At 37.0% G+C, this 24,678-nt stretch overlaps 3 annotated features.

Moving 5' to 3' along the window:
- Nucleotides 3,322-3,843: an enhancer, noted in NCBI's record as "NANOG hESC enhancer chr11:50754605-50755126 (GRCh37/hg19 assembly coordinates)". NCBI's record gives its function as "activates a minimal SCP1, AML or CMV promoter by ChIP-STARR-seq in primed H9 embryonic stem cells {active_cell/tissue: H9 hESC(primed)}" and the evidence as "EXISTENCE:reporter gene assay evidence [ECO:0000049][PMID:30033119]".
- Nucleotides 4,042-4,661: an enhancer, noted in NCBI's record as "OCT4-NANOG hESC enhancer chr11:50755325-50755944 (GRCh37/hg19 assembly coordinates)". NCBI's record gives its function as "activates a minimal SCP1, AML or CMV promoter by ChIP-STARR-seq in primed H9 embryonic stem cells {active_cell/tissue: H9 hESC(primed)}" and the evidence as "EXISTENCE:reporter gene assay evidence [ECO:0000049][PMID:30033119]".
- Nucleotides 4,805-5,432: an enhancer, noted in NCBI's record as "OCT4-NANOG hESC enhancer chr11:50756088-50756715 (GRCh37/hg19 assembly coordinates)". NCBI's record gives its function as "activates a minimal SCP1, AML or CMV promoter by ChIP-STARR-seq in primed H9 embryonic stem cells {active_cell/tissue: H9 hESC(primed)}" and the evidence as "EXISTENCE:reporter gene assay evidence [ECO:0000049][PMID:30033119]".

The following is a 24,678-nucleotide window of genomic DNA, read 5'->3' on the forward strand; positions in this document are numbered from 1 at the left end:
TATTTTAAGATATTTCCTTTTCCACCATAGGCCACAAAGGGTTCCAAATATCCACTTGCAAATTCTGCAAAAACTGAGATCCAAAACTGCTCAATCAAAAGATAGATTGAACTCTGTGAGTTGAATGCATACATCACAAAGATGTTTCTCAGAATGCTTCTGTGTAGTTTTTATGTGAAGATATTAGGTTTTCTACAGTAGGCCTCAAAGGGCTTCTAATATCCACCTGCTGATTCTGCAAAAAAAAAAAGAGCTTCAAAACTGCTCAATCAAAAGATAGGTTCAACTCTGTGAGTTGAAACCATACATCACTAAGAAGTTTCTCTGAATGCTTCTGTGTAGTTTTTATTTGAAGATATTTCCTTTTCAACCCTAGGGCGGAAAGGGCTCCAAATATCCACTTGCAGATTCCACAAAAAGAGAGACTCAAACCTGCTCAACGAGAAGATAATTTCAACTCTGTGAGTTTAATGTACACCTCACAAAGGAGTTTCTCAGAATGCTTCTGGGTAGTTTTTATTTGAAGATATATCCTTTTCAACCCTAGGGTGGAAAGGGCTCCAAATATCCACTTGCAGATTCTACAAAAAGAGAGATTCAAACCTGCTCAAGCAAAACATAGGTTCAAACCTGTGAGTTGAATGCACATATCATGAAGAAGTTTCTGAGAATGCTTCTGTCTAGTTTTTATGTGAAGATATTTCCCTTTACACAATAGGCCTCAAAGCTCTCCAAACATCCACTTGCAGATTCTGCAAAAAGAGAGATTCAAAACTGCTCAATTCAAAGATAGGTACAATTCTGTGGGTTGAATTCACACGTCATGAAGAAGTTTCTCAGAAGGCTTCTGTGTAGTTTTTATGTGAAGATATTTGATTTTCCACAGTGGGCCTCACAGCACTCCAAGTATCCACTTGCAGATTCTACATAAAGAGAGATTCAAAACTGCTCCATCAAAATATAGGTTCAACTCTGTGAGTTGAATGCACATATCATGAAGAAGTTTCTGAGAATGCTTCTCTGTAGTTTTTATTTGAAGATATTTCCTTTTGCACAATATGGCGCAAAAAGCTCCAACTATTCACTTGGAGATGCTCCAAAAAGAGATTCTAAACTGCTCAATCAAAAGATAGGTTCAACTCTGTGTGTGTAATGCACACATCACAAAGAATTTTCTCAGAATGTTTCTGAGTAGTCTTTATGTGAAGATATTTCCTTTTACACAATATGACTCAAAGGGATCCTATTATCCAGTTGCAGATTCTACAAAAAGAGTGTTTCAAAACTGCTAAATCAAGGGAAAGATTCAACTCTGTGAGATGAATGCACACATCACAAAGAAGTTCCTCAGAATGTTTCTGTGTAGTTTTTATCTGAAGATATTTGCTTTTCCACGGTATGCCTCAGAGCACTCCAAATATCAACTTGCAGATTCTACAAAAACAGTGGTTCAAAACCGCTCAATCATAAGATAGGTTCAATCCTGTGAGATGAATGGACACATCACAGAGAAGTTTCTCATAATGTTTCTGTGAAATTTTTATTTGAAGATATTCCCTTTTCCACCATAAACCAAAAAGGGCTCCAAATATCCACCTGCAGATTCTGCAAAAAGAGAGATTCAAAACTGCTCAATAAAAAGAGAGGTTCAACTCTGTGAGTTGAATGCACACATCCCAAAGGAATTTCTCAGAATGCTTCTGTGTAGTTTTTATGTGAAGATATTTGCTTTACCACAGTAGGCCTCAAAGGGCTCCAAATATCCACTTGCAGATTATATAAAAAGAGATACTCAATACTGTTCAATGAGAAGATAAGTTCAACTCTGTCAGATGAATGCACACATCACAAAGAAGTTTCTCAGAATGCTTCTGTGTAGTTTTCATTTGAAGATATTTCCTTTTCCACAATAGGCCTCAAAGGGCTCCAAATATCCATTTGCAGATTCTACAAAAAGAGTGTTTCAAAATTACTCAATCAAAAGATAGGTTCAACTCTGTGAGATGAATGCACACATCACAAAGAAGTTAATCTGAATGCTTCTGTGTAGTTTTTATCTGAGAATATTTGCTTTTCCACTGTTGGTCTCAAAGCACTCCAAATGTCCACTTGCAGACTCAACAAAAGGAGTTTTTCAAAAATGCTCAATCATAACATAGGTCCAACCCTGTGAGATGAATGCAAACATCACAAAGAAGTTTCTCAGAATGTTTCTGTGTAGTTTCTACTTGAAGATATATCCTTTTCTACCTTAGGCCACAAAGGGCTCTAAATATCCACTTGCAAATCCTTCCAGAAGGGAGCTTAAAAACTGCTCAATCAGAAGATAGTTTCAACTCTGTGAGTTGAATGCACACAACCCAAAGAAGTTTCTCAGAATGCTTCTGTGTAGTTTTTATGTGAAGATATTTGCTTTTCCACAGTAGGCCTCAAAGGGCTCCTAATATCCACCTGCAGATTCTGCAAAAACAGAGATTCAAAACTGTTCATTCAAAAGATATGTTCAACTCTGTGAGTTGAAAGCGTACAGCACAAATAAGTTTCTCTGAATGTTTATGTATAGTTTTAATTTGAAGATATTTCCTTTTCGACCCTAGGGCCCAAACGGCTCCAAATATCCACTTGCAGATTCTACAAAGAGACAGATTCAAACCTGCTCAATAAGAACATAAGCTCAACTCTGTGAGTTGAATGTACACTTCACAAAGTAGTTTCTCAGAAATCTTCTACGTAGTTTTTATGTGAAGATATTTCCTTTTCCACAATGTGCCTCAAAGGGCTAAAATTATGCAGTTGCAGATTCTACAAAAATAATGTTTCAAAACTGCTCAATCGAAACAAAGTTTCAACTCTGTGGGTTGAATGCACACATCATGAAGAAGTTTCTGAGAACGCTTCTGTGTAGTTTTTATTTGAAGATATATCCTTTTCCACCATAAACCACAAAGAGCTCCAAATATCCACTTGCAGATTCTGCAAAAAGAGAGATTCAAAACTGCTTAATAAAAAGAGAGGTTCAGGTGGCTCACACCTGTAATCCCAGCACTTTGGTAGGCCAAGATGGGTGGATCACGAGGTCAGGAGATCAAGACCATCCTGGCTAACATGGTGAAACCCCGTCTCTACTAAAAATACAAAAAATTAGCTGGGCGTAGTGGTGGGCACCTGTAGTCCCAGCTACTCCGGAGGTTGAGGCAGGAGAATGGCATGAACCCAGGAGGCAGAGCTTGCAGTGAGCCGAGATTGCACCACTGCACTCCAGCCTGGGTGACAGACCCAGACTCTTTCTCAAAAAAAAAAAAAGTGAAGTTCAACTCTGTGAGTTGAATGCACACATCCCAAAGAAGTTTCTCAGAATGCTTCTGTGCAGTTTTTATGTAAAGATATTTCCTTCAGCACAATGGGCCTCAAAGCTCTCCAAACACCCACTTTCAGATTCTGCAAAAAGAGAGATTCAAAACTGCTCAATCAAAAGACAGGTACTATTCTGTGGGTTGAATACACACGTCATAAAGAAGTTTCTCAGAATGCTTCTGTGTAGTTTTTATGTGAAGATATTTGACTTTCCACAGTAGGCCTCACAGCACTCCAACTATCCACTTGCAGATTCTAAAAAAAGAGAGATTCAAAACTGCTCAATCAAAACATAAGTTCAACTCTGTGAGTTGAATGCACACATCACAAAGATGTTTCTGAAAATGCTTCTCTGTAGTTTTTATTTGAAGATATTTCCTTTTCCACAATATGACTCAAAGGGCTCCAATTATCCAGTTGCAGATTCTACAAAAACAGTGTTTCAAAACTGCTCAATCAAAAGAAAGGTTCAACTCTTTGAGATGAATGCACACAACACAAAGAAGTTCCTCAGAATGTTTCTGTGTAGTTTCTATCTGAAGATATTTGCTTTTCCACGGTAGGTCTCAGAGTGCTCCAAATATCAACTTGCAGATCCTACAAAAACAATGTTTCAAAACTGCTCAAACATAAGATAGGTTCCACCCTGTGAGATGAATGCACACATCACAAAGAAGTTTCTCACAATGTTTCTGTGAAGTTTTCATTTGAAGATATTTCCTTTTCCACCATAAACCACAAAGGGCTCCAAATATCCACTTGCAGATTCTGCAAAAAGTGAGATTCAATACTGTTCAATAAAAAGAGAGGTTCAACTCTGTGAGTTGAATGCACACATCCCAAAGAAGTTTCCAGAATGCTTCTTTGTAGTTTTTATGTGAAGATATTTGCTTTTCCACAGTAGGCCTCAAAGGGCTCCTAATATCCACCTTCACATTCTGCAAAAACAGAGATTCAAAACTGCTCAATCAATCAAAAGATAGGTTCAACTCTGCGAGTTGAATGCACACATCCCAAAGAAGTTTCTCAGAATGCTTCTGGGTAGTTTTTATGTGAAGATATTTGGTTTTCCACAGTAGGCCTCACAGCACTCCAAGCATCCACTTGCAGATTCTACAAAAAGAGAGATTCAAAACTGCTCAATCAAAATATAGTTTCAACTCTGTGAGTTGAATGCACACATCATGAAGAAGTTTCTGAGAATGCTTCTCTGTAGTTTTTATTTGAAGATATTTCCTTTTACACAATACGGCACAAAAATCTCCAACTATCCACTTGCAGATTCTCCAAAAAGAGATTCTAAACTGCTCAATCAAAAGACAGGTTCAACTCTGTGAGTTGAATACACACATCACAAAGAAGTTTCTCAGAATGTTACTGAGTAGTCTTTATGTGAAGATATTTCCTTTTCCTCAATATGACTCAAAGAGCTCCAATTATCCAGTTGCAGATTCTACAAAAAGAGTGTTTCCAAACTGTTCAATGAAAAAAAGGCTCAACTCTGTGAGATGAATGCACACATCACAAAGTAGTTTCACAGAATGCTTCTGTCTAGTTTTTATGTGAGGATATTTCCTTTTCCACCATAGGGCCCAAAGAGCCCCAAATATCCACTTGCAGATTCTACAAAAAGAGTGTTTCAAAACTGCTCTATCAAAAGAAAGGTTCAACTCTGTGTGTTGAACGCACTCATCACAAAGAAGTTTCTGAGAATGCTTCTGTCTAGTTTTTATGTGAAGATATTTCATTTTCTGCCACAGGCCCCAAAGCACTCAAATATACACTTGCAGATTCTAGAAAAAGAGAGTTTCAAAACTGCTCTATCAATAGAAAGGTTCAACTCTGTGAGTTGAATGCACACATCACAAAGTAGTTCTGGGAATGCTTCTGTCTAGTTTTTAAGTGAAGATACTTCCTCTTCCACCAAAGGTCACAGAGCACTACAAAGATCCACTTGCAGATTCTACTAAAAGAGTGTTTCAAAACTGATCTGTCAATAGAAACATTCAGCTTTGTTAGTAGAATGCACTCATCACAAAGAAGTTTCTGAGAGTGCTTCTGTCTAGTTCCTATCTGAAGATATTTCCTTTTACAACATAGGCCCCAAAGCACTCAAAATATCCACTTGCAGATATTATGAAAAGAGTGTTTCAAAACTGCTCTATCAAAGGAAAGGTTCAACTCTGTGAGATGAATGCACACATCACAAAGAAGTTTCCGAGAATGCTTCTGTATAGTTTTTATGTGAAGATATTTCCTTTTACACCATAGGCCTCAAAGCGCTCCAAATATTCACTTGCAGATTCTACAAATAGTGTTTCAAAACTGCTCTATTAAAAGAAAGGTTCAACTCAGGGAGCTGAATGCACATATTACAAAGAAGTTTCTGAGAATGCTTCTGTCTAGTTTTCATATGAAGATATTTCGTTTTAGACCATTGGCATCAAAGCATTTCAAATATCCTCTTGCAGATTCTAGAAAAAGAGTTTTTCAAAACTGCTCTTACAAAAGACTGGTTCAACAGTCTCAGTTGAATTCACACGTCACAAAGAAGTTTCTGAGAATGCTTCTGTCTAGTTTTTATGTGAAAACATTTCCTTTTCCACCATAGACCTCAAAATGCTCCAAATATCCTCTTGCAGATACTACGAAAAGAGTGTTTAAAAACTGCTGTATTGAAAGAAAGGTTCAATTATGTCAGTTGAATTCACTCATCACAAGGAAGCTTCTGAGGATGTTTCTGTCTAGTTCTTATGTGAAAATATTTCCCTTTCCACAATAGGCCTCAAAGTGCTCCAAATATCCACTTGCAGATTCTACAAAAAGAGGGTTTCAAAACTGCTCTAACAAAAGAAAGGTTCAACTCTGTGAGTTGAATGCACTCATCACAAAGAAGTGTTTGACAATGCTTCTGTCTAGTTTTTACATGAAGATATTTCCTTTTCCACCATAGACCTCAAAGCACCCCAAATATCCACTTGCAGATGCTAGAAAAAGACTTTTTCAAAACTGCTCTATCAATAGAAAGGTTCAACTCTGTGAGTTGAATGCACACATCACAAAGAAGTTTCAGGGAATGCTTCTTTCTAGTTTTTATGTGAAGATATTTCCATTTCCACCGTAGGCCTCAAAGTGCCCCAAGTATCCACTTGCAGATTCTACAAAAAGAGTGTTTCAAAACTGCTCTATCAAACGAAAAGTTCAACCCTGTGAGTTGAATGTATCACAAAGAAGTTTCTGACAATGCTTCCGTCTAGTTTTTATGTGAAGATATTTCCTTTTCCACAATAGACCTCTAAGCACTCCAAATATCCACTTACAGATTCCAGAAAAAGACTTTTTTAAAACTGCTCTATTAAAAGAAAGGTTGAACTCTGTGAGTTGAATGCACACATCACAAAGAAGTTTCTGAGAATGCTTTTGTCTTGTTTTTATGTGAAGATATTTGCTTTTCCACAGTGGGCCACAAAGGGCTCCAAATATCCACCTGCAGATTCTGCATAAAGAGAGATTCAAAACTGCTCAATCAAAAGTTAGGTTCACCTCTGTGAGTTGAATGCATACATCACAAAGAAGTTTGTCTGAATGCTTCTGTGTAGTTTTTATTTGAAGATATTTCCTTTTCCACCACAGGGTGCAAAGGGCTCCAATTATCCACTTGCAGATTCTACAAAAAGAGAGATTCAAAACTGCTCAATGAGAAGACAAGTTCAACTCTGTGAGTTGAATGCACACTTCACAAAGAAGTTTCTCAGAATGATTCTGTGTAGTTTTTATGTGAAGATATTTCCTTTTCCACTGTAGGCCTCAAAGCTCTCCAAACATCCAGCAGCAGATTCTGCAAAAAGAGAGATTCAAAACTGCTCAATCAAAAGATAGGTGCAACTCTGTGAGTTGAAGGCACACATCACAAAGAAGTTTCTCAGTATGCTTTGGCCTAGTTCTTTTGTGAAGATATATCCTTTTCCACCATAGGCCTCAATGGGCTTCAAATATCCAATTGAAGTTTCTACAAAAAAAGAGTGTTTCAAAACTGCTCTATCAAAAGAAAGGTTCAACACTGTGAGTTGAATGCGCTCATCATAAAGAAGTTTCTGAGAATGTTACTGTAAAATTTTTATGTGACGATATCTGCTTTTGCACCATAGGCCAAAAGTGCTCCAAATATCCACTTGCAGATTCTTCAAAAAGAGTGTTTCAAAACTGCTCAATCAAAGGAAAGTTTCAACTCTGTTAGTTGAATGCACACAACACAAAAAAGTTTCTGAGAAAGCTTCTGTTTAGTTTTTATGTGAGGATATTTCCCTTTCCACCATAGGCCTCAAAGCGCCCCAAATATCCACCTGCAGATTCTACAAAAAGAGTGTTTCAAAACTGCTCTATCAAAAGAAAGGTTCAACTGTGTGTATTGAATGCACTCATCACAAAGAAGTTTCTGAGAATTCTTCTCTCTAGTTTTTATGTGAAGATATTTCCTTTTCCACCACAGGCCCCAAAGCGCTCCAAATATCCACTTGCAGATTCTACAAAAGGAGTGTTTCAAAACTGCTCAATAAACGGAAAGGTATAACTCTGAGTTGAATGCACACAACACAAAGAAGTTTCTGATAATTCTTCTGTCTATTTTTTATGTGAGGATATTTTCTTTTCCAACATAGGCCTCAAAGTGCTCCATTTATCCACTTTCAGATTCTAGAAAAAGACTGTTTCAAAACTGCTCTATCTAAAGGAAGTTTCAGCTCTCTGAGTTCAATGCAGACATCACAAAGAAGTTTCTGAGAATTCTTCTGTCTAGTTTTTATGTGAAGATATTTCCTTTTCCACCATAGACCTCAATACTCAGAGAGTTGAAACTTCCTTTTGATAGAGCCGTTTTGACACACTTTTTTTGTAGAATCTGCTAGTGGATATTTGGAGTGATTTGAGGCCTTCGATGGAAACAGAAATATCTTCACATAAAAACTAGACAGAAGCATTATCAGAAACTTTTGTGTGATGTGTGCATTCAGCTCACAGGGTTGAAATTTTCTTCTGATAGAGCAGTTTTGGAATACTCTTTTTGTAGAATCTTCAAGTGGACATTTGGAGAGCTTTGAGGCCTATGGTGGAAAAAATCTTCACATAAAAACTAGAAAGAAGCATTCTCAGAAATTTCTTTGTGACATATGCATTAAAATCACAGAGTTGAACATTCCTTTTGATAGAGCAGTATTGAAACACTCTTTTTGTAGAATCTGCAAGTGGATATTCAAAGTGCTTTGAGGCCAATGGTGAAAAAGGAAATATCTTCACAAAAAACTAGACAGAAGCATTGTCAGAAACTTCTTTGTGATGTTTGCTTTCAACTCAGAGAGTTGAACATTCCCTTTTATAGAGCAGTTTTGAAACACTCTTTTTGTAGATTTTCCAAGATGATATTTGGACCACTTAGAGGAATTTGTTGGAAACGAGAATATCTTCACGTAAAAACTAGACAGAATCATTGTCAGAAACTTCTTTGTGATGTTTGCATTCAATTCACAGAGCTGAACATTCCTTTTGATAGAGCAGTTATGAAACACTCTTTTTGTAGGATCTGTAAGTTGATATTTGGACTGCTGAAAGGCCTATGGTGGAAACGGGAAAATCTTCACATTAATACTAGACAGAAATGTTCTCAGAACCTTCCTTGTGATGTGTGCATTCAACTCACCAGTTGAACCTTTCTTTTGATAGAACTGTTTTGAAAAATTCTTTTTGTAGAATCTGCAAGTGGACATTTGGAGTGCTTTGAGGTCTACACTGAAAAAGGAAATAACTTCACATAAAAACTAGACAGAAGCACTTTCAGAAACTTCTTAGTGATGTTTGCTTTCAACTCACAGAGTTGAACATTTCTTTTCATAGAGCAGTTTTGTAGCACTCTTTTTGTATAAACTTCAAGTCGATATTGGGTCACTTTGAGGCCTTCATTGGAAATGGGAATATCTTCACATAAAAACAGGACAGAAGCATTTGAGAAACTTCTTTGTGATGTGTGCATTCAACTCTCAGAATTGAGCATTCCTTTTGATAAAACAGTTTTGAAACTGAAACACTCTTTTTGTAGAATCTGCAAGTGGATATTTTGAGCGCTTTGAGGCCTTTGGTGGAAACAGGAATATCTTCACATAAAAAGTAGACAGAAGCATTCTCAGAAACTTCTTTGTGATGTCTGCTTTCAACTCACAGAACTGAACCTTTCTTTTGATAGAGCAGTTTTGAAACACTCTTTTTGTAGAACCTGCAACTGGATATTTGGAGCGCTTTGAGGCCTATGGTGGAAACGGGAATATCTTCACATAAAAACTAGACAGTAGCATTCTCATAAACTTCTTTGTGAAGAGTACATTCAACTAAGAGGGTTGAACCATCTTTTGATAGAGCAGTTTTGAAACTCTATTTTTGTAGAATCTGCAAGTGAATATTTACACAGCTTTCAGGCCTATGGTAGAAAAGGAAATATCTTCACATAAGAACTAGACAGAAGCATTCTCAGAAACTACTTTGTTTTGAGTGCATTCAACGCACAGGTTTGAACCTTTCTTTTGGTAGAGTAGTTTTGAAACACTCTTTTCCTAGAATCTGCATGTTGATATTTGGAGCTCTTTGAGGCCTTCGGAGGAAATGGGAATATCTTCACATAAAAAATGGACAGATACATTCTCAGAAACTTCTTTGTGAAGTATGCATTCACCTGAGAGAGTTGAACTTTCCTTTTGAGAGAGCAGTTTTGAAAAACCCTTTCAGTAGAATCTGCAAGTGGATATTTGGAGCGCTTTGAGGCCTTTGGTGGAAACTGGAATATCTTCACATAAAAAATGGAGAGAAGCATTCTCAGCAACTTCTTTGTGATGTGTGCATTCAAATCACAGAGTTGAACATTTGTTTTGATAGAGCATTTTTGAAGCACTCTTTTTGTAGAATCTGCAAGTGGATATTTAGATGGCTTTGAGGGTTATGGTAGAAAAGGAAATATCTTCACATCATAAGAAGAAGACAGAAGCATTCTCAGAAACTACTTTGTGATGTGTGCATTCATCGCACAAAGTTGAACCTTTCTTTTGATAGAGTAGTTTTGAAACACTCTTTTTGTAGAATCTGCAACTGGATATTTGGAGCGCTTTGAGGGCTATGGTGGAAACGGGAATATCTTCACATAAAAAGTAGACAAAAGCATTCTCAGAAACTTCTTTCTGAAGTAAGCATTCACCTCAGACAGTTGAAACTTCCCTTTGAGAGAGCAGTTTTGAAACACTCTTTTTGTAGAATCTGCAAGTGGACATTTGGAGGGATTTGTTGCCTATGGTGAGAAGGGAAATATCATCACATAAAAACTAGAAAGAAGCATTCTCAGAAACTTCTCTGTGATGTTTGCATTCAACACACAGAGTTGAACCTTTCTTTTCATAGGGCAGTTTTGAAACTCTTCGTAGAATGTGGAAGTGGACATTTGGAACATTTTGATGCAAATGGTGACAAATTAAATATCTTCACATAAAAACTAGACAGAAGCATTCTCAGAAACTTCTTTGTTATGTTTGAATTTAACTCACAGAGCTGAACATTTCTTTTCATAGAGCAGTTTGAAAACATTCTTTCTTGTAGAATCTGCAAGTGGATATTCGGACCACATTGAGGCCTTCATTGGAAATGGGAATATCTTAACATTAAAAACTAGACAGAAGCATTCTCAGAATTTTTTTTTTTTTGACTTGTGCATTCAACTCAGAGAGTTGAAATTTCCTTTTGATAGAACAGTTTTGAAATCCTCTTTTTGTAGAATCTGCAAGTGGATATGTGGACCGCTATGAGACCTACAGTAGAAAAGGAAATCACTTCATATAAGAACTACACAGAAGCGTTCTAAGAAACTACTTTGTGATGTGTGCATTCAACTCAGAGAGTTGAACGTTCCTTTTGATAGGGAAGTTTTGAAACACTCCTTTTGTAGTACCTGCAAGTGGATATTTGTGCCACTTTGAGGCCTACGGTAAAAAAGGCAATATCTTCATGTAAGAGCTACACAGAGGCGTTCTCAGAAACTACTTTGTGTTGTGTGCATTCAATTCACAGAGTTGAACCTTTCTTTTGGTTGAGTAGTTGTGAAACACTCTTTTTGTAGAATCTGCAAGTGGACATTTGGAGCGCTTTGTTGCCTATGGTGAAAAAGGAAATATCTTCACATAAAAACAAGACAGAAGCATTCTCAGAAACTTCTCAGTGATGTGTGCATTCAACTTAGAGAGAGTTGAACATTTCTTTTGATAGAGTAGTTTTGAAACACTTTTTTTGTAGAATCTGCAAGTGGATATTTGGAGCACATTGAGGCTTTTGGTGCAAACGGGAATATCTTCACATAAAAACTAAACAGAATCATTCTCAGAAATATCTTTGTGATGTGAGCATTCAACTCACAGAGTTGAAACTTTCTTTTGATAGAGCAGTTTTGAAACACTCTTTTTATAGAATCTGAAAGTGGACATTTGGAGTGCTTTGAGGCCTAAGGTGAAAAAGGAATATCTTCACATAAATACTACACAGATGCATTCTCAGAAACTTCTTTGTGATGTGTGCATTCAACTCACAGAGTTGAGCCTTTCTTTTGATAGAGCAGTATTGAAACACTCTTTTTGTAGAATCTGCAAGTGGACATTTGAAGAAATTTGATGCCTATGGTGAAAAAGGAAATATCTTCACATAAAAAATAGACAGAAGAATTCTCAGAAACTACTTTTTATGATTGCATTCAACTCACAGAGTTGAAGATTCTTTTTCATAGAGTAGTTTTGAAACACTCTTTGTAGAATTTGCAAGGGGATATTTGGACCTCTTTGAGGCCTTCGTTGGAAACAGGAATATCTTCACATAAAAACTAGACAGAAACATTCTCAGTAACTTCTTTGTGATGTGTGCATCAAACCCACAGAGATGAACCTTACTTTGATAGAGTAGATTTGAAGCAATCTTTTTATAGAATCTACAAGTGGACAATTGGAGCGCTTTGAGACCTATGGTGAAAAAGGAAATATATTCACATAAAAACTAGACAGAAGCATTCTCACAAACTTCTTTGTGATGTGTGCATTCAACTCACAGAGTTGAACCTTTCTTTTGATAGAACAGTTTTGAAAAAATCTTTTCATAGAATCTGCAAGCAGACATTTGGAGCGCTTTGATGCCTATGGTGAAAAACGAAATATCTTCACATAAAAACTAGACAGAAGCATTCTCAGAAACTACTTTGTTATGTTTGCATTCAACTCACAGAGCTTAACATTCGTTTTCATAGAGCAGCTTTGAAACACTCTTTTTGTAGAATTTGCAGGTGAATATTCGCACTGCTTTGAGGCCTTCATTGGAAACAGGAATATCTTCACATATAAACTAGACAGAAGCATTTTCAGTAACTTCTTTCTGATGTGTGCATTCAACTCACAGAGTTGAACCTTTCTTTTGATAGAGCAGTTTTGAAGCACTCTTTTTGTAGAATCTGCAAGTGGACATTTGGAGCGCTTTGAGGCCTATGTTGAAAAAGGAAATATCTTCACATAAAAACTAGACAGAAGTATTCTCAGAAACTTCTTTGTGATGTGTGCTTTCACCTCACAGGTTTGAAACTTTCTTTTGATAGAACGCTTTTGAAACACTCTTTTTGTAGAATCTGCAATTGGATATTTGGACCACTTTGAGGCATTCAGTGAAAACGGGAATATCTTCACATAAAAACTAGACAAAAGCATTCTCAGAAACTTCCTTGTGATGTGTGCATTCAACTCACAGAGTTGAACCTTCCTTTAAATAGAGCAGTTTTGAAACAGTCTTTTTGTAGAATCTTTAAGTAGATATTTGAAAAGATTTGAGTCCTATGGAGGAAAAGGAATTATCTTCACATAAAACTAGACAGAAGCTCTCTCAGAAACTTGTTTTAGATGTGTGCATTCAACTCACAGAGTTGAACCTTTCTTTTGATAGAGCAGTTTTGAAACACTCTTTTTGTAGAATCTGCAAGTGGCTATTTGGAGCTCTTTGAGACCTGCGATGGAAACGGGAATATCTTCACGTAAAAACTTGACAGAAGGATTGTCAGAAACTTCTTTTTGACGTCTGCATTCAACTCAGAGAGTTGAACCTTCCTTTTGATAGTGCAGTTTTGAAACACTCTTTTTGTACATTCTGCAAGTGGACATTTGGAGCACTTTGAGTCCTTCATTGGAAAAGAAAGTATCTTCACAGAAAATCTAGACAGAAGCATTCTCAGAAACTTCTTTGTGATGTGTGCATTAAATACACAGATTTGAACCTTCCTTTTGATAGAGAAGTTTTGAAGCACTCTTTTTGTAGAATGTGTAAGTGGATATTTGGAGCGCTTTGAGGCCTATGATGTAAACGAGTATATCTTCACATAAATATTAGACAAAAGCACTCTCAGAAACTTCTTTCTGATGTGTGCATTAAACTCACAGAGGTGCACCTTCCTTTTCATAGAGAAGCTTTGAAAAACTCTTTTTGTAGAATCTGCAAGCCGATATGTGGAGCTCTTTCAGGTCTTCAGTGGAAACGGGAATATCTTCACATAAAAACTAGACAGAAGCATTCTCAGAAACTTCTTTCTGATGTGTGCATTCATCTCACAGAGAGGAACGTTCCGTTTGATAGAGCTGTTTCAAAACACTCTTTCCGTAGAATCTGCAAGTGGATATTTAGAGCACATTGAGGACTTCGGTGGAAACAGTGTGTCTTCACATAAAACAACACAGAAACATTCTCAGAAACTTCTTTGTGACGTTTGCTTTCAAATCACAGAGTTGAACATTCCTTTTCATAGAGCAGTTTTGAGACACTCTTTTTGAGGAATTTGCAAGTGGATATTTGGACCGCTTTGAGGTCTTCATTGGAAACGGGATATATTCACATAAAAACTAGACAGAAGCATTGTCAGAAACTTCTTTGTGATGTGTGCAGTCAACTCACAGATTGGAAACTTTCTTTTGATAGAGCAGTTTGGAAACACTATTTTTGTAGAATCTGCAGGTGAATATTTGGAGCGCTTTGAGGCCTATTGTGAAAAAGGAAATATCTTCACATAAAAACTAGATAGATGCATTCTCAGAATCTTCTTTGTGATGTGTGCATTCAACTCACAGAGTTGAACCTTTCTTTTGATAGGGGAGTTTTGAAACACTCTTTTTGTAGAATCTGCAAGTGGACATTTGGAGTGCTTTGAGGCCTTTTGAGAAAAAGGAAATATCTTCACATAAAAACTAGACAGAAGCATTCTCAGAAACTTCTTTGTGATGTGTGCATTCAACTCACAGACCTGAACCATTCTTTTGATTGAGCAGTTTTGAAACACTCCTTTTGTAGTATCTGCACATGGATATTTGGAGTGCTTTGAGGCCTATAGTTCAAAAGGAAATATCTTCACATAAAAACAAGACAGAAGCATTCTCAGAAACTTTTTTGTGATGTTTTCTTTCAACTCGCAGAGTTGAAACTTTTTTTTGATAGAGCAGTTTTGAAACACTCTCTTTGTAGAATCTGCAGGTGGACATTTGGAGTGCTTTGATGTCCCTGGTGAAAAAGGAAATATCTTCATATGAAACCTAGACAGAAGAATTCTCTGAAACTTCTTTGTGATGTTTGCTTTCACGTCAGAGAGTTGGACATTCCTTTTCATACAGCAGTTTTGATAGAGTTTTTCTTTAGAATTGGCATGTGGATATTTGGACCGCTTTAAAGCCTTTGGTGGAAACGGGAAAATCTTTACATAAAAACTAGACAGAAGCATTTTCAGAAACTTCTTTGTGATGTGTGCATTCAACTCACAGAATTGAACCTTGCTTTTGATGTAGCAGATTTGGAACACTCTTTTTGAAGAATCTGCATTTGGATATTTGGAGCACACTGAGGCATTTGGTGGAAATGGAAATATCTTCACATAAAAACTAGATAGAATCATTCTCAGAAACTCGTTTTTCATGTGTGCCTTCAACTTACAGAGTTGAACCTTTCTTTTGATAGAGCAGTTTTGAAAAACTCTTTTTGTAGAATCTGCAAGTAGACATTTGGATCTCTTTGAGGCCTTCAGTGGAAATGTGAATATCTTCACATAAAAACTAGACAGAAGCATTCTCAGAAACTCCTTTGCGATGTGTACATTCAATTCACAGAGTTGAACCTTCCTTTGGATAGAGCAGTTTTGAAGCAATCTCTTTGTAGAATCTGCAAGTGGACATTTGGAGAGCTTTGAGGCCTATGATGAAAAGGGAAATATCTTCACATAAAAACTAAACAGAAGCATTCTCAGAAACCTCTTTGTGATGTGTGAATTCAACTCACAGAGTTGAACATTTCTTTTGATAGAGTAGTTTTGAAACACTCCTTTTGTAGAATCTGCAAGTGGACCTTTAGAGTACTTTCATGCCTAAGGTGAAAAAGGAAATATCTTCACATAAAAATAAGACAGAAGCATTCTTAGAAACTTCTTTGTAAAGTTTGCTTTCGACTCACAGAGTTGAACATTCCTTTTCATAGAGCAGTTTTGAAACACTCTTTTTGTAGAATATGCAAGTGGATATTTGGACCGGTTTGAATCCTTCATTGGAAACGGGATGTCTTCACATAAAAACTAGACAGAAGTATTCTCAGAAACTTCTTTGTGATGTGTGCATTCAACTCACAGAGTTGAACATTCCTTTTGAAAGAGCAGTTTCAAAACACTATTTTTGTAGAATCTTCAAGTGGACATTTGGACCTCTTTGAGGCCTTCGGTGGAAACAGGAATATCTTCACATAAAAACTAGACAGAAGCATTCTCAGAAACTTCTTTGTGATCTGTGCATTCAACTCGCAGACGTGAACATTCCTTATGACAGAGCAGTTTTGAAATAAAACTAGACAGAAGCATTCTCTGAAACTATTTTGTGATGTGTGCCTGCAACTCACAGAGTTGAACCTTTCTTTTGATAGAGCAGTTTTGAAACACTCTTTTTGTAGAATCTGCAAGTGGACATTTGGAGCACTTTGATGCCTATGGTGGAAAAGGAAATATCTTCACATAGAAACAAGACAGAATCATTCTCAGAAACTGCTTTGTGATGTGTGCTTTCAACTCAGAGGGACGAAAATTCCCTTTCATAGAGCAGTTTCAAAACACTCTTTTTGTAGAATCTGAAAGTGGATATTTGGACCACTTAGAGGCCTTCATTGGAAACGGGAATATCTTCACATAAAAACTAGACAGAAGAATTATCAGAAACTTCTTTGTGATGTGTGCATTCAACTCACAGAGATGAACATTCCTTTTGAAAGAGCAGTTTTGAAATGCTCTTTATGTAGAATCTGCAAGTGGATATTTAGAGCGCATTAAGGACTTTGGTGGAAATGGTTTATCTTTACCTAAAAACAAGACAGAAGCATTCTCAGAAACTTCTTTGTGACGTTTGCTTTTAAATCACAGAGTTGAACATTCCTTTTCATAGAGCGGTTTTGAGACACTCTTTTTGTAGAATTTGCAAGTGGATATTTGGACCACTTTGAGGCCTTCGTTGGAAACGGGATAACTTCACAGAAAAACTAGACAGAAGCATTCTCGGAAACTTCTTGGTAATGTGTGCATTCAACTCGAGAGGTGAGCCTTTCTTTTGATACAGAAGTTTTGAAACACTCTTTTTGAAGTATCTGCAAGTGAATATTTGGAGTGCTTTGAGGCCTATTGTGAAAAAGAAAATATCTTCACATAAAAACTAGACAGAAGAATTCTGAGAAACTTCTTTTTGATGTTTGCTTTCAACTCAAAGAGTTAAACCTTTCTTTTGATGGAGCATTTTTGAAACACTCTCTTTGTAGAATCTGCAGGTGGACATTTGGAGTGCATTGATGCCTCTGGTGAAAAAGGAAATATCTTCACATGAAATCTAGACAGAAGCATTCTCAGACACTTCTTTCTGATGTTTGCTTTCAAATCAGAAAGGTGGACATTCCTTTCCATACAGCAGTTTTGATACAGTCTTTCTTTAGATTTTGCATGTGGATATTTGGACTGCTTTGAGGCCTTGGGTAGAAACGGGAATATCTTTACATACAAAGCAGACAGAAGCATTCTCAGAAACTTCTTTGTGATGTGTGCATTCAACTCACAGAATTGAACCTTCCTTTTATGGAGCAAATTTGGAACACTCTGTAGAATCTGCAAGTGGACGTTTGGAGCACTTTGAGGCCTATGGTGAAAAAGAAAATATCTTCACATAAAAACTAGACAGTAGCATTCTCAAAAACTTCTTTTTGATGTTTGCCTTCAATTCAAAGAGTTGAACCTTTCTTTTGATAGAGGAGTTTTGAAACACTCTTTTTGAGGAATCTGCAAGTGGACATTTGGATTGCTTTGAGGCCTGTGGTGAAACGAAATATCTTCACATAAAAACTAGTCAGAAGCATTCTCAGAGAGTTCTTTGTGATGTTTGCTTTCAACTCACAGAGTTGAACATTCCTTTTCATAGAGCAGTTTCAAAACACTCTTTGTGTAGAATCTGCAAGTGGATACTTGAACAGCTTTGAGGCCTTCTTTGGAAATGGGATATCTGCACATAAAAACTAGATAGACACATTCTCAGAAACTTATTTGTGTTGTGTGTATTCAACTCACAGACGTGAACCTTTCTTTCGATAGAGAAGTTTGAAACACTCTTTTTGCAGAATCTGCAACTGGATATTTGGAGCACTTTGAGGCCTATGGTGAAAAAGGAAATTTCTTCACATAAAACTAGATGGAAGCGTTCTCAGAAACTTTTTTGTGAAGTGTACATGCAACTCACTGTGTTGAACCTTTCTTTTGATAGAGCAGTTTTGTAACACTCTTTTTGTAGAATCTGCAAATGGATATTTGGTGCCCTTCGAGGCCTATGGTGAAAAAGTAAATATATTCACATGAAAACTAGACAGAAGCATTCTCACAAACTTCTTTGTGATGTTTGCTTTCAACTCACGGAGTTAAACATACCTTTTCATAGAGCACTACTGAACCACTCTTTTTGTAGAATTTGCTAGTTGATATTTGGACCGCTTTGAGGCCGTCATTGGAAATGGGATATCTTCACATAAAAACTAGAAAGAAGCATTCTCAGAAACCTCTTTGTGATGTGTGCATTCAACTCACAGAGTTGAACTTTTTTTTTGATAGAGCAGTTTCAAAACACTCTTTTTGTGGAATTTGCAGGTGGATATTTGGAACGCTTTGAGGCCTTCTTTGGAAACGGGATATCTTCACATAAAAACTAGACAGAAGCATTCTCAGAAACTTTTTTGTGATGTGTGCATTCTACTCACAGAGTTGAATACTCCTTTTTATAGAGCAGTTTTGAAACACTCTTTTAGGAGAATCCGCAAGTGGATAATTGGACCACTTTGACGCCTTCAGTGGGAACGGGAATAACTTCACATAAAAATTGGACAGAAGCGGTCTCAGAAACTTCTTCACAATGTGTGCATTCAACTCACACAGTTGAACCTTTCTTTTGATAGAGCAGTTTTGAAACACTCTTTTTGTAGAATCTGGAAGTGGATACTTGGAGCGCTTTGAAGCCTATGGTGAAAAAGGAAATACCTTCACATAACAACTAGACAGAAGCATTCTCAGAAACTTCTTTGTGATGTGTGCACTCACCTCTCAGAGTTGAACCTTTCTTTTGATAGAGTAGTTTTGTAACACTATTTTTGAAGAATCTGCTAGTGGATATTTGAAGCCCTTTGATGCCTATGGTGAAAACCGAATTATGTTCACATAAAAACTAGACAGAAGCATTCTCAGAAACTTCTTTGTGTTGTTGGTTTCCACTCACAGAGTTGAAAATTCTTTTTTATAGAGCAGTATTGAAACACTCTTTTTCTACAATTTGCAAGTGGATATTTGGACCACTTTGAGGTCTTCTTTGGAAACGGGATATCTTCACATAAAAACTAAAAAGAATCATTCTCAGAAAATTCTTTGTGATGTGTGCATTCAATTCACAGAGTTGATCATTCCTTTAGATTGAAGAGTTTCGAAAACTCTTTTTATAGAATTTACAAGTGGATATTTGGACCGCTTTTAGGCCTTCTTTGGAAATGGGATATCTTCACTTAAAAACTAGACAAAAACATTCTCCAAAAATACTTTGTGATGTCTGCATTCAACTCACAGAGTTGAACATTCCTTTTGATACAGCAGTTTAGAAACTCTCTTTGTCTAGAATCTTCATGTGGATATTTCAACAGCTTTGAGGCATTTGTTGGAAATGGGAATATCTTCACATAAAAATTAGACAGAAGCATTCTCAGAAACTTCTTTGTGATGTGTGCATTCAACAACTGACAGAGCTCAACCTTTCTTTTGATAGAGCAGTTTTGAAACACTCTTTTGGTAGAATCTGCAAGTGGACATTTGGAGCCCTTTGACGCCTATGGTGAAAAAGGAAATATCTTCACATAAAAACTAGACAGAAGCATTCTCAGAAACTTCTTTGTGATGCGTGCATTCAACTCACAGAATTGGACCTTTCTTTTCATTGAGTAGTTTTGTAACACTCTTTTTATAGAATCTGCAAGCAGACATTTGGAGCTCTTTGATCCCTGTGGGGAAAAAGGAAATATATTCACTTAAAAACAATACAGAAGCATTCTCAGAAACTTCTCTGTGATGTTTGATTTCAACTCACAGATTTGAACATTCCTTTTCATAGAGTAGTATTGAAACACTCTTTTTGTAGTATTCGCAAGTGGATATTTTGACGGCTTTGAGGCCTTCATTGGAAAAGGAATATCTTCACAAAAAAACTAGACAGAAGCATTCTCAAAAATTTCTTTGTGATTTGTGCATTCCGCTCACAGAGTTGAACATTCCTTTTGATAGAGCAGTTTCGAAACACTCTTTTGGCAGAATCTGCAAGTGCATACTTGGATCTCTTTGAGGCCTTCATTGGAAGCAGAATATCTTCACATAAAAATTAGACAGAAGCATTCTAAAAAACTTCTTTATGATGTGTGCATTCAACTCAGAGAGTTCAACATTCCTATTGATAGAACAGTTTTGAAACACTCTGTCTGAAGAAACTGCAAGTGGATATTTGGACCGCTTTGAGGCCTTTGGTGGGAACGGGAATATCTTCACATAAAAATTAGACAAAAGCATTCTCAGAAACTTCTTTGCCATGTGTGACTTCAACTCACACAGTTGAACATTTCTTTTGATAGAGCAGTTTTAAAACACTCTTTATGTAGAATCTGCAAGTGGATATTTGGAGCACTTTGAGGCCTATGGTGAAAAAGAAAATAGCTTCACATAAAAACTAGACAGAAGCATTCTGAGAAACTTCTTTGTGATGTGTGCATTCAACTCACAGAGTTGAACTTTTCTTTTGATAGAGCAGTTTTGTAACACTATTTTTGTAGAATCTGCAAATGGACATTTGGACCCCTTTGATGTCTATGGTGAAAAAGGTTATATGTTCACATAAAAACTAGACAGAAGCTTTCTCAGAAACTTCTTTGTGATGTTTGCTTTCCACTCACAGAGTTGAAAATTCCTTTTTATAGAGGAGTGTTGAAACACTCTTTTTCCAGTATTTGCAAGTGGACATTTGGACCGCTTTGAGTCCCTCTTTGGAAACGGGATATCTTCACATAAAAACAAAAAAGAAGCATTCTCAGAAACTTCATTGTGATGTGTGCATTCAACTCACAGAGTTGAACGTTCCTTTAGATAGAGCAGTTTCCTAACACTCTGTTTGTAGAATTTGCAAGTTGATATTTGGACTGCTTTGATGCCTTCATTGGAAACAGGATATCTTCATTTAAAAACTAGACAAAAGCATTCTCAGAAACTTCTTTTTTTTATTATTATTATACTTTTAAGTTTTAGGGTACATGTGCACATTATGCAGGTTAGTTACATATGTATACATGTTCCATGCTGGTGCGCTGCACCCACTAACTCGTCATCTAGCATTAGGTGTATCTCCCAAAGCTATCCCTCCCCCTCCACCCACACCACAACTGCCCCCAGAGTGTGATATTCCCCTTCCTGTGTACATGTGATCTCACTGTTCAATTCCCACCTATGAGTGAGAATATGCGGTGTTTGGTTTTTTGTTCTTGCGATAGTTTACTGAGAATGATGATTTCCATTTTCATCCATGTTCCTACAAAGGACATGAACTCATCATTTTTTATGGCTGCATAGCATTCCATGGTGTATATGTGCCACATTTTCTTAATCCAGTCTATCATTGTTGGACATTTGGGTTGGTTCCAAGTCTTTGCTATTGTGAATAATGCCGCAATAAACATACATGTGCATGTTTCTTTACAGCAGCATGACTTATAGTCCTTTGGGTATATACCCAGTAATGGGATGGCTGGGTCAAATGGTATTTCTAGTTCTAGATCCCTGAGGATTCTCCACACTAACTTCCACAATGGTTGAACTAGTTTATAGTCCCACCAACAGTGTAAAAGTGTTCCTATTTCTCCACATCCTCTCCAGCACCTGTTGCTTCCTGACTTTTTAATGATTGCCGTTCTAACTGGTGTGAGATGGTATCTCAATGTGGTTTTGATTTGCATTTCTCTGATGGCCAGTGATGATGAGCATTTTTTCATGTGTTTTTTGGCTGCATAAATGTCATCTTTTGAGAAGTGTCTGTTCATGTAGTTTGCCCACTTTTTGATGGGCTTGTTTGTTTTTTTCTTGTAAATTTGTTGGAGTTCATTGTAGATTCTGGATATTAGCCCTTTGTCAGATGAGTAGCTTGTGAAAATTTTCTCCCATTTTGTAGGTTGCCTGTTCACTGTGATGGTAGTTTCTTTTGCTGTGCAGAAGCTCTTTAGTTTAATTAGATCCCATTTGTCAATGTTGGCTTTTGTTGCCATTGCTTTTGGTGTTTTAGACATGAAGTCCTTGCCTATGCCTATGTCCTGAATGGTAATGCCTAGGTTTTCTTCTAGGGTTTTTATGGTTTTAGGTCTAACGTTTAAGTCCTTAATCCATCTTGAATTGATTTTTGTATAAGGTGTAAGGAAGGGATCCAGTTTCAGCTTTCTACATATGGCTAGCCAGTTTTCCCAGCACCATTTATTAAATAGGGAATCCTTTCCCCATTGCTTGTTTTCCTCAGGTTTGTCAAAGATCAGATAGTTGTAGCTATGTGGTGTTATTTCTGAGGGCTCTGTTCTGTTCCGTTGTTCTATATCTCTGTTTTGGTACCAGTGCCATGCTGTTTTGCTTACTGTAGCCTTGTAGTATAGTTTGAAGTCAAGTAGCGTGATGCCTCCAGCTTTGTTCTTTTGGCTTAGGATTGACTTGGCGATGTGGGCTCTTTTTTGATTCCATATGAACTTTAAAGTAGTTTTTTCCAATTCTGTGAAGAAAGGCATTGGTAGCTTGATGGGGATGGCATTGAATCTGTAAATTACCTTGGGCAGTATGGCCATTTTCACGATATTGATTCTTCCTACCCATGAGCATGGAATGTTCTTCCATTTGTTTGTATCCTCTTTTATTTCATTGAGCAGTGGTTTGTAGTTCTCCTTGAAGAGGTCCTTCACATCCCTTATAAGCTGGATTCCTAGGTATTTTATTCTCTTTGAAGCAATTGTGAATGGGAGTTCACTCATGATTTGGCTCTCTGTTTGTCTGTTGTTGGTGTATAAGAATGCTTGTGATTTTTGTACATTGATTTTGTATCCTGAGACTTTGCTGAAGTTGCTTGTCAGCTTAAGGAGATTTTGGGCTGAGACAATGGGGTTTTCTAGATATACAATCATGTCAACTGCAAACAGGGACCATTTGACTTCCCGTTTTCCTAATTGAATACCTTTTATTTCCTTCTCCTGCCTAATTGCCCTTGCCAGAACTTCCAACACTATGTTGAATAGGAGTGGTGAGAGAGGGCATCCCTGTCTTGTGCCAGTTTTCAAAGGGAATGCTTCCAGTTTTTGCCCATTCAGTATGATATTGGCTGTGGGTTTGTCATAGATAGCTCTTATTATTTTGATATACGTCCCATCAATACCTAATTTATTGAGAGGTTTTAGCATGAATGGTTGTTGAATTTTGTCAAAGGCTTTTTCTTCATCTATTGAGATAATCATGTGGTTTTTGTCTTTGGCTCTGTTTATATGCTGGATTACATTTATTGATTTGCATATATTGAACCAACCTTGCATCCCAGGGATGAAGCCCACTTGATCATGGTGGATAAGCTTTTTGATGTGCTGCTGGATTCATTTTGCCAGTATTTTATTGAGGATATTTGCATCAATCTTCATCAAGGATATTGGTCTAAAATTCTCTTTTTTTGTTGTGTCTCTGCCTGGCTATGGTATCAGAACGATGCTGGCCTCATAAAATGAGTTAGGGAGGATTCCCTCTTTTTCTATTGATTGGAATAGTTTCAGAAGGAATGGTACCAGTTCCTCCTTGTGCCTCTGGTAGAATGTGACTGTGAATCCATCTGGTCCTGGACTCTTTTTGGTTGGTAAGCTATTGCCACAATTTCAGATCCCGTTTTTGGTCTATTCAGAGATTCAACTTCTTCCTGGTTTAGTCTTGGGAGGATGTATATGTCGAGGAATTTATCCATTTCTTCTAGATTTTCTAGTTTATCTGCGTAGAAGTGTTTGTAGTATTCTCTTATGGTAGTTTGTAATTCTGTGGGATCGGTGGTTATATCCCCTTTATCATTTTTTATTGCATCTATTTGATTCTTCTCTCTTTTTTCTTTATTAGTCTTGCTAGCGGTCTAACAATTTTGTTGATCCTTTCAAAAAACCAGCTCCAGGATTCATTAATTTTCTGGAGGGTTTTTTGTGTCTCTATTTCCTTCAGTTCTGCTCTGATTTTTGTTATTTCTTGCCTTCTGCTAGCTTTTGAATGTGTTTGCTCTTGCTTTTCTAGTTCTTTTAATTGTGATGTCAGGGTGTCAATTTTGGATCTTTCCTGCTTTCTCTTGTGGGCATTTAGTGCTATAAATTTCCCTCTACACACTGCTTTGAATGCATCCCAGAGATTCTGGTATGTTGTGTCTTTGTTCTCGTTGGTTTCAAAGAACATCTTTATTTCTGCCTTCATTTCGTTATGTACCCAGTAGTCATTCAGGAGCAGGTTGTTCAGTTTCCATGTAGTTGAGTGGTTTTGAGTGAGATTCTCAATCCTGAGTTCTAGTTTGATTGCACTGTGGTCTGAGAGATAGTTTGTTATAATCTCTGTTCTTTTACATTTGCTGAGGAGAGCTTTACTTCCAAGTATGTGGTCAATTTTGGAATAGGTGT

This window comes from Homo sapiens, chromosome 11 (assembly GCF_000001405.40).
Source record: "Homo sapiens chromosome 11, GRCh38.p14 Primary Assembly".
NCBI lineage: Eukaryota > Metazoa > Chordata > Mammalia > Primates > Hominidae > Homo > Homo sapiens.